At 41.5% G+C, this 11,056-nt stretch overlaps 1 protein-coding gene across 1 annotated transcript; it reads right to left on the minus strand.

Moving 5' to 3' along the window:
* Window positions 1–553: 553 nt before the first annotated feature.
* Window positions 554–8,805, minus strand: OR8B8 (olfactory receptor family 8 subfamily B member 8). Its single transcript, NM_012378.2, has 3 exons — window positions 8,685–8,805; window positions 4,597–4,732; window positions 554–4,210 (listed from the first exon to the last, which is right to left on the minus strand). The coding sequence occupies exon 3, from the start codon at window positions 4,192–4,194 to the stop codon at window positions 3,259–3,261; it is 936 nt and encodes a 311-aa protein (NP_036510.1). The 5' UTR covers window positions 4,195–4,210; window positions 4,597–4,732; window positions 8,685–8,805; the 3' UTR covers window positions 554–3,258.
* Between the last annotated feature and the right edge of the window lie 2,251 nt (window positions 8,806–11,056).

Genomic DNA, 11,056 nt, shown 5'->3' on the forward strand with positions numbered 1-11,056 from the left:
TTAATTACGTTTAATACATCCATAGGATGGAATTTTGTGCAATCTTGAAAATTGAGTTGGAGGCAATAGATCAGAACGAACACATTCTTGCTGTGGGCTGTGTCTTTCTTGGGGTGTACACTTTTTCAGCCAGAGCTAAAGCTCCCTGTTTTCACATCATTACTTTCTCTCCCCCCACTTTTTTCCTAACCACAACCCTTCATATACATTTGTAGGCTTTTCTCTCCATTTATTTATCTTAGTAACAAACCCTAATTCATTCCTCTTCTAATTAATTTTCATACTGGATATATTTCAAAGTAGGTTTTCATGACTTTGGAAACAAATTAAAAAACTGTGTGTATGTATGTGCAGGCACACACAACTTGTACATGTAGTGACTATGTAAAAATATACAGCTAACAGGCAACGATGATAACCCCTAGAAAAGAAGAGGACTGCATGACAAGAAAACTGAAGTAAAAGGAGGCTTCCTTTCACTGATTATTCTTTGGTACTAGTTTTAATATCATAAACATTGTCTTAGTCTGTTCAGCCCACTGTAACAAAACTACACACCAGGTGGCTTTTAAACAGCAGGAATTTATTTCTCATGGTTCCAGAGGCTGAGAAGTCCAAGATTAAGGCAGCAGCAGATTCCGTGTCTGGTGAGAGCCCGCTTTCTGCCTCATAGACAGAGCCTTCTTGTTTTGTTCTTACATGGTAGAAGAGGTGGGGGAGGTCTCTCTCAGACTTTGTGTGTGTGTGTGTGTGTGTGTGTGTGTGTGTGTGTGTGTGCGCGCGCGCGTGCGTGCGTGCTGGGATTACAGGCGTGAGCCACCGCACCCAGCCTCAGGACTCTTTTATAAGGACACTAACCTCATTCATGAGGGCCCCACCCTCATTACCTAATCACCTCCCAAAGACCCCACCTCCTTTCAACATCCGTCATTTCAAAATCTGATTCTGAGGGGACACAAGTGTTCAGCCTATAGCAAATGTATTATCTGGTCAATATATAAATAAATATATCTTGTAAATGGAATGTAGAAATAATCTGATAGAACATGATCATTTTCATATAAGCAAGCATAGACCCAGAAAAATGAAGCAATTGTCCCAAGGTCACATAATAAATTAGTGCAAGTGCTGATATTAAAAGGAAAAGGATCTGGCAGGGACAGAAACAAATTTACCGAGAATCTGGCATCTAATTCACTTAATACCTCTGAGAAAAACGTTTTTAAAGATGAAGAAATTGATGTTCAGAGACATCATGTAATGCTAAAGGCAACACAGCTGAGGAGAAGCTCAGGTTCAAATTTGATTCTACCATCCAACTCTCTGGGCTCTGCTCTTTTTGAGTCTTTATGCTGCTCTGCCCCTCTCAATCCCATAGTCAGCTAAATTCTGTGTTGTTTATCTAGTCCATGCTGTCCAAGACACAATCCCTCATTCTTTTGAATTCACCCTTATTAATCTGCACCATCCCAAAGGGCAACACTCTACATCCATCCAAACTTTACTTTTTCTAAATAGAAGAGAATCTTCCTAAAGAGAGACTCGTAAGTCAACACATTTTCACAGCATTTCACATATCATTGTTTCACAAAGAAATCTACTATTTATAATCTTTTTAAACTGAAAAGCTACTCTACCTTCCTTTATACAGTACCATTAGGCTGTGGGCTTATAAACCTGAGCCATATCATTTCTCCCACCCTTTATTGGAAGGTGCAGCAGTCAGGGTTTCTGCAAAAATCAGATGATCCACATAAATACAGTAATTGAAAATACAATAAAGAAACTATCTGCATTTGTTTAAGCAAAAGTGGTTGAGAGAAACCACAAAGAGATGGTCAAGCTCTCTGGGTTAGCAACAGCAGGGAGACATTATCACTCCTTGGCATGAAGAGACGAGGGAGGGGGCAGTTATTATAACCCAGTAAGAAATGAGGCATTCAGTTACTGCCACTGTTGCCCAGCTAGGAGGAAGTCAGGGAAATAAATAGCATAATATCACACTCCTCCTACCCTCTGATTTCCTCTGCTGATGTTGCCATTGGTCTAACCCAACTGAAACCAGAGGGCAAGGGGACCAGTTAAGGAATACCTCCCAGGATTCGGCGTGAGGCGCCAAGGGGCAGAAAGTTGATCTGTGAAACCATGCAAAAAGTACCCCACATGGTTTCTGCTGCATGCAGCATTATACCATTCAGTGGTCATTCCCTCCACTGACTGACTGCTGTGTGGATCTCACCTGACTACTGACTTGTAACACAAGGCTCTCTGTGGTTCTGAAATATTCTCCAGATCCATAACTGACCACCCTAGGCGGTGGACTTCTCCATCTTGAAGTTTTTTTGTTGTTGTTGTTGTTTAGATGGAGTCTTGCTCCATTGCCCAGGCTGGAGTGCAGTGGCATGATCTTGGCTCGCTGCAACCTCCACCTCCTGGGTTCAAGCGATTTTCCTCCCTCAGTCTCCTGAGTAGCTGAGAGTACATGCATGAGCCACTGCATTTGGTCCCCATCTTGACTTTTGAAAACAGGGCAATGATTGTATGTGATTGCATGTGAAATAATTCCCAAATTCTGTTCTTCATAACCTTGACATTTTCTATAAGTTCTTCCACCCAGCATCACTAAAACCCTTCAAGTCCAAGTCCCTGAAGCTCCACCCCACTGTCTTAAGAGGTACCATACATGCTGCTCCCTGGGTCCTAACACACTTCCCCTGCACCTTCTTCAAAATGCTTCAAGAATTTCCCTGGTCATTTGGCCAAGGCCATCTCAACAAAAAATTCTATATACTTCCTACCTACTTGCAAAAATGCGACATTTAAAATTAGCCTTTGAAAAGTTGCATGTAATTTCTGAGGACAGAATCAGATTTTAACATCCTAGGCCAGCTCACATTTGAAATGAAATCTTCCAGAGGCTGAGGGAGGAAGAAAGTGAGCCATAATGAAAAGCAGCCAGTACTGGAAATAAAGAGCCTGGATTTTAGTCGCAGTTCCACTGCTGAGCAGCTGAGCGACCTCGGGGAAGGTACATAAGCTTGAGTCTATCCTCAGAAATAGCGGGGAACTGAGTGAAATGATCCTCAAGACTTACTGTGTGAGTATTCAAAGCTCTTAAGAATGTTTGTAAATTAAAGAACCCTTAAAATGGGGATGATGAACCTGTTTGAGGAAAAATTATATTTCTTCCATGTAACCAGTGGAGTCCAAATCACTTATGGGAGAAACAGTGTTTCTTTCCTGAGCATTGCCCTTTTCTCAGGAGAATGCATTTTTGTTCAAGATTTTCTTTAGAGCAACTTTGACGTCCTTATTCCTCAGGCTATAAATTAATGGGTTGAGCATGGGCACCACAGTGGTATAGAATAGGGAAGACACCTTGCCCTGGTTCATAGCTAAAAGAGAAAAGGGTTTGAGGTACATGAATGCTCCTGACCCAAAGAACAGAGAAACTGCAATTATGTGGGAGCTGCAGGTGCTGAAGGCTTTGGACCTGCCCTCCGTGGAATCAATGTGGAAGATGCTGGAGAGAATGAGAGCATAGGAAATGAAGATGGTGACTGTGGGCACACCAATATCAATGCCCACAACAACAAACACTACAAGCTCATTCACATAGGTGCTGGTGCAAGCACACTCAAGAAGGGGAAGGATGTCACACATGTAGTGGTTGACAAGGTTATTGGCACAGAAGGTCACACCCATCATGCACGCTGTGTGGGCCATGGCCCCAGCAAACCCCATCCCATAGACACCCAACAAAAGGAGAAAACACACCTGGGGAGACATGGTGACCATGTACAACAGTGGGTTACAGATGGCCACATAGCGGTCATACGCCATTGCTGACAGGATGAAGGACTCAGAGACAACAAAGAAAAGAAAGAAGAAGAGCTGAGTCATACACCCTGCGTAGGAGATGCTGTTCTTCTTTAAGACAAAGCTCATCAGCATTTTGGGAGTGATAACACTGGAATAGCAGAAATCTATGAAGGACAAGTTATAGAGGAAGAAGTACATAGGGGTGTGCAAGTGAGAGTTGAGCCTTATCAGGGTTATCAAGCCCAGGTTCCCCACCACAGTGACCACGTAGAAGCCTAGAAACAGGAAGAAGAGGGGGATCTGGACTCCCGGTTGGTCAGTTAAGCCTGCGAGGATAAACTGTGTCACGAAGGAGGAATTCTCAGCAGCCATTGTCATTTAAGGCATTCTGTGGGGACAAGGGAAAAAGTTATTTAGAGAGAGAGAGAGACCACTGCTGCCCTCCCAGTCATCCCTCCTTCCTTCTTGAGAATAGGAGGCACACAGAGAGATTTTGAACTTCAGCAGAGGGGGCTTTGCTGCGGCTCCCTCTGGAGCAAGCCCCGCCTCCATGGCCAGGGCAGGTGCTGCTGGCAAGGCCTCCCATCTTTACTTTGATCCCTTTGTTGCGCCCTTTCAACTCCAGTTTCTACTTAAGTTTACAGAAACTGGGGCCAGTCTCCAGGAAGAGTCCTCTTAGAGGCCGGACCCAGCCCGCCTGTGCCTGGAGAGTTAGGGTTAGGGTCATCCTGGACAGAGCAGAAGGGTAGAGTGGACTTCCCAGAGCTTTAGTACCTGAGACTGGGGACTCGGGAAAAGTTCGGACTGCTCATCCGGATTCAGCCTCTCATCCTCTTCAGCCCAGAGTTTCAGTGATGTGCCTTTAGGTCCAGCTCTTATCTTCACTTGTTCAGACAGATTGGCTGCGGAGCTATCACAGATGAAAGACTAAGCACCAGCCCGCTAGGCCCTATCCCGATGGCAGCACTGGAGCCTCGGCTGCCTCAGAACTCTTTCTGAGCTACAGTACGTGACATCTGATGGAGGCTGTGCCCTGAGGCCTTCCTCCAGCTTGCAGAAAGGCGACAGCATCCTTACCATTATCAGTGACAGCCAATGACAGGAGACTGAGCAGTTTTATTCTGAGTTTGGATATCTGGGGAACTGATTAGAAGTAGAGCAGCAGAAGTTCCCCTGGGATCACAGACCTGGATATAACAAAGTTGTGCTCATACCCTTGATAATATTTGAATGGGCTTTTAGAAACATGAAAATATTTGTTCAATTAACATCTACTCGGAAATATGCAAAGCATTGTGCAAAAACAATAATTTACCATTTATTGAGCACTTAATGTATACCTAATCCTTTTTTTTCCTAGCATTATGCACTGACCTCAGCATGCCAGGATCCAATACCATTTTTCATATAATTTTTCATTTTAATTCTACCCCAAATTCTATGAGCTGGGTTTTATCACCCTCATTTTAGAGATGAAGTAACTCCCCAAATGTTAAGTTACAAAGGCCATATTAAAACTAGGTGCATCTTACTCCAGATTTGGTGTTCTTAATAACTGAGTTTAACACCTCTCTATAGAAGATAATGAAGTATGTAAAGCCCAGTTCTTGCCTTCAAGACTCTGACCATGTCTTGAAAAAGACACTAGAACACACATAACTAAGCAAAAGCATGTGATAAGATCCAGAAAAGGCAAAAACAAAATGTTATGCCACTCTGATGGAGGACATTCAACCTATCACTTATATTTCAGTTCATTGCTGAGCTGCACAATACCCAGTCCAGAAGACAAACCAATCTGTCTTTTCTTGGAATTTGAGCTTGACAGTAAAAATCAATCTCGATTGGTTAAGAGTTTTTTCCAAAATTGCTAACTTGTTGGGATTCCCCTAGATGGCCCCTGTCCTCTATCGTTGTTCTTTCCAGTGTTATTTTCAGCTTTCCTCATCGTGAGCCTGAAGGCCTTGTAGCTTGATTCTCCTTCTTCCCACGGGATATTTGCTTTCTCGTTTTGCTTGCTTTGTTCTTTTCATAACTCCCCTCTCTCGTGACAAAAGTCATCCCTTCTGTGTTCTAGCCTCTCAGAGCCTTGCTTGAGCTCAGTGACAGCTAGTTATCATTCTTGGAGCCCCATAAATTTGAATCAATATTTAAAAATCATCTAATCCTGTGGTTCATAAACCTGGCTGTGCAAATGAATTAGATAACTATATGCTTATTAAAAGTACAGATCCTGCTGCCCCAAGCCAGGCATCATAAATTAGAATCTCCAGGGGTGGGATTTTATAACTTATATTTCTCACCCTATTGATCTGGATATTTAGACAGGTTTCACCCTATTGATCTGGATGTTTAGGCAGGTTTGGGATTCAATGCCCTAATACTCTATCTACCCTACGTTTTCTAGACAGGAAAATTGAAGTCCACCAGTCAGAGTTGGTTGGTGGTGAAGTCCAGAATAAAACTTGGGTCTCCAGTCTTTCCAGTTACATTGTCTGGAGGAAGTTCACCTGGCCTTTAGTTCGGCTGGAATGTAGAGTACAGGGAGGGATATAGTTGTGCATCAACCCTGGAATAGCATCCCAGGTTCCTGCTGTGGAGAGACTTGAACGTCATGACAGGAATTACGTATGCAATGTGAATCCATGGAATATATTGAATATGAGAGTGACATGGTCAGAGTTGTGGGGAGGGAGGCCAATTAGTCTATTGGGCTACTGGGTGTTGATGACTTGATGCCATGTTCCCCCCAAATGCTATGTTTAATGTGTAATTCAGACACGATGCCATAGCTCAAAGCACCAGCAATAAGATAAAGGATGAATTTTCAAAACAAGTAGCAGGTAAATGGAGCAAAAGGCCTTTCTAAGCTTTTTAGCACATGACAAGTCACATAACGCTGGCCCTGTCTTCTAGCTGTGTTGTTCTCTGCCTACTATCCTGAATATTTTCACCAGGTCTGAGTTCAGGTCCCATCACCAAGCTCTCTGTGTTGCACATGTTTTATGCCTCATTTTATATTACTCAGCCTATCTTTTGGGCTTCTGCTGTTGCTGTGGCAGTGAGCTGCATCCAGCTATAGCCCAATAACAATGTTTCTTGACTACACTACGTATCCCCTCCTTTCAGCCCTAGGACACCTCTGCCACCACAAAGTGGTACATCTGAGAATCCATTCAGCCATTATGGTGCACGTGCTGATCTGTAAGCGTGAAGGAATTAACACCCCTGGGAGTCAGTGGGTAAATGTCTCCCTTTTGTGTATCTCCAGTGGTTCATTCTTCTTAGTACATCAAAAGATCTCAGAGGAACTAATCCTAAATTCCCCATTAAGGTAACATATAACAGAACCTTTTATTGGTTTTCTATACTTCCCTGTTTTTCTCTCTCTCTTTTCCCTGGGATGACTTCTAAAAATAAGCTATCTGCATGTATGGCCTTGTCCCCAGCACAGCTTTTTATGGAAATCCCAGCTAAGGTACTCCTAAAACAGTATTCGGATCAGGTTTCAACAAAATGTTCCTTACTCCACCTGGGAGGAAGCATCCTCACCCAAGTCTCTTTGATTCCAGGACAAGAAACTAAATATGCATCAGTAAATTCATCAAGGACCTGAAATTATTCAGTACCATGTTTCAGAGAATTTTTATGTCTTGAGCATGACCTATCAAAACACCTAAATGCCAGAAGGAGTAATCTCAAATAATTATCGGCTCACACCTTAATAGGGATTAGCCACGACAAATCCTACAGTACTTTGTTCTTAGATCTCTTGCAGCTCTACTCACAATGTATTACTGTCCTGTCCCTCCATGAACTATAATGATGCTAGCAACATTGTAGTTTTATTCACTTTTATATCTTTGAATCATATAGCTCACAAAATGTTCATTAATCTCTAATTCTCAATCTCCTCATCTATAAAATGGGGATGATGGCGATAATTCACAGTGTCGTTGTTGTGAGAGTTAAATTAAATCATGAAAGTGGAAGAGCCGAGAAGAGTGGTTGACAAAAGAAAGAGCCCTGATAAATGCTGTAGAAAATAGACATAAAACAAATATGAAATGCATATATCCTAGGGATGGCATGAGGGAAGGAAAAATCTTGCTTAAAGCTGAATGAGCCTGAAAGAGACAAGAGAGGGTCTGCCATAGGGCAGAGGAGACAGCTGACAAGAGTGAGAAGAGCCTGGGAACAATACACTCTTCAAACTTTAAGGCCTGTCTCTCCAACATAACCCAATCCACAGACAACATCAGGCCCTTGAGTATATTACCCTGTCCCTACTTCCTGTCCTACCACCAATGCCTATTTTTCAAATATCCACATTCTATCACACCACAAAAGCCAAATTCCAAAATCAGGTAAGGGTTTCTTTACAGCCTCCCATTTTCTCTTCCTATACCCATCTCTAGTCTCCTAGTCTCAGCAAAAATTCCTCTTCCCCAACATTCACAATCTTAGTGCTACTTTCCTTCAATTCTCTGTCAAAACTAAGTTTTCAAGAAGAATCTCACAAATTCATCAGCACACAGTCTACTACAACTTGCTGGGGACAATCCACATTCTTCACCCTCTTCCAGGCATTTCTTAAAATGAAGACAAAGTCTTTAGCAAAAAAAAAATAGATCTCTAGTTATGAAATTTCAAACAGCACTCAGTTAATGAGAGGTACATTTTGGTCAGGATAAGGCAGCTGAAGTGGTGGCTTCACAATTAGAGCCCCATTGGCAGCTGTCTGACCTCCATGCAGCAAGCTAATTACCACCCTTCTTCCAGTCCTGTGTGTGTAGTGGGTGTGTGTGCGCACACACGTGTGTGTGTTTTGTGTATAAGTGCTGGGTAACATTTGAACATACCTCAGAGCTTGCTCCTCTGCCACATGTGGAATGTATTTTAGTCACTGCTCAGAAACAAGATGCCTCAAGTGTAACTCTTATACCTAGAAATCTGCCACTCCCTCAGTGATTATGAGAAACCTCAATCCTTGCTCTCATTCCCACTGTAGTCAACTCACAATTTAAGAAAATAAGTCATTATTACAAGCATGAAATGAGTCCCACAGGAAAGGTGCTCCTTAGGGCACAGAAAGCAAGACTCCGGCTTCATTAAAAGTTGACTTTTCTCTGGGAGCCTTAGAGGATTCCTGTTTGGATGGTAGAACAACCAAGAAAAGTTCTTCTGGATGTATGTCATTTTAAAGCCTGTTGCCATGGAAACTACTCTTCAAAATCCTCTCAACTGGGGCTTTACTAAAGTCTTGTTGCCTGAGGAGCAGATGAAGCCCAAGCAGGAAGCAGTGTAGGAAGAACTATTCTTAACTCTGTTCCTTTTGTTGCAGAACTGCCCTCCTTCCAAAACTTGGATTTCTGTATAGTGCTTCTTTGTTTTATTTATTTCTATTTTTTCCTAACTTTTCAAAATTACATTCTAATTTGTGTGATTTCATATGTGACACATGAATATGAGTCAATACAATGTTTCTCACACACACACATTAACCCTCAGACTTCTGGTGGCACAAGGTTGGACCCAACTGCAGCAACCATCACAGCATACCAAGAAGACCAAGTACAAGTTTCATAAGAAATTACAGAACCTGATCAGAGAAAAAAGATGGCAACTGAAAGGTCTTCATTTGAAATGGCCTTCATTCACTCCTGAGAAAGCAATATCAGCAGTAATCTGTTTCTGCATTATACTTAATCTGACTTTACTTTTATTATTTTCAACTCATTGATATACAAACCTATGCATAAATTATATATGTATTTAATATAGAATTCTAGAGTTAGATGGGACCTTGGAGGTCTATGTTGGGGAATAATTACCATGTATAAACACATATGTATCAACCACTGTGCAGAAAGTTTTATATACATTATGTCATTTGTAGAAAATGAGTAATCTGCACAAAGTGCAAAGCTGACATTTTAAAAAACATCATCCAATCATATTTTAGTATCATTAGTATTAAGAATACTAATACTAGTACTAATATGTTATACTTTGTAAGTGCTGACCATGTGCTAGGAACTATCCTAAATGCTTTACACATATTAATGCCATTAGTTTTCACGAGTTATATTAAATGGTTACTTTTATTATCCTACTCTGCACAAGAACATTTCCTTGAATTAAAAAAATCAAACCTGTTTATCTGTTAGTTGGGACAACCTTGTCTCTTTAGGCCTCAAGTATTTGTAGTGATAGAGGATTAATAAATTTGCTAGATTAATGGTTATAAAGGAAGAATCGAGAGGGAAGACCAAGTGTCAAAGGTTACTAAAGTCTCAACCCCAGGGCCTAGAAATAAGGAAGTAAAGAGATAAATAAAGAGGTAGAATTTAGACCTGACTTTCATGTGCTGAAAGTACATGTAAGAGCAAATGGTCAGTAGTGAGTCATCAGCATGAGATCAGAGCTGAGAAAAAGATATCAAGACACATATTGAGAAGTCATGTAAATAAAAGTGATTGCAGAAACTACAAGTTAAGGGTAAAGGGTGGAACCATATAATTATCCATGATCAATAAAAGGGAAGGAGAAAACTGTTAGTAAATTTGTCAGAGAAGGCAAATATGGTACCCTGAGCAGGCTTTGTAGCAAAATGACCTGGGATCTCCTTAGGTCTCCCACTAGCCAAGCGAGCTTACGCTATTTGGACTTCAGTAACTACATCTGAAATCAGATATGTTAGCACCTAGCATACAAGATTGTATGAGGATCAACTATCATAGTGTTCAATAAGTAGCTTCGAATTAACAAAGTGTTATAGACTTACTGAAGTATTATTACTACACATCTTTTTTATCCACTTAGTCTAATTTATCCTGCTTTAGGAGTTACTTACCCCAGCCACAATTATGTTATAAGCTACTAAAGTCAAGATCATATGTTTGGAACTGGGGGCTATGCCTGTAATTTCAACAACTAAGGAGGCTAAGGCAGGATGATCATTTGAGGCTAGGAGTTTGAGACCAGTCTGGGAAAAATAGAGAGACTTTGTCTCTTAAAAGTAAATAAATAAATAAATAAATAGCCAGGGTGGTGGCACACATCTGTAGAGTCAACTACTTGGAAGGCTAAGGCAGGAGGATCTCTTGAGCCCAGGAGTTGAAGGCTGCAGTGAGCTATGATTACACCACTGCATTCCAACCAGGGTGACAGAGCGAGACCCTGTCTCTAGAAAAAAAAAAATCATATCTAGTTTAAAAATCTAGTCAGAGCA

The sequence above is a fragment of the Homo sapiens genome, chromosome 11 (assembly GCF_000001405.40).
Source record: "Homo sapiens chromosome 11, GRCh38.p14 Primary Assembly".
Classification (NCBI taxonomy): Eukaryota; Metazoa; Chordata; class Mammalia; order Primates; family Hominidae; genus Homo; species Homo sapiens.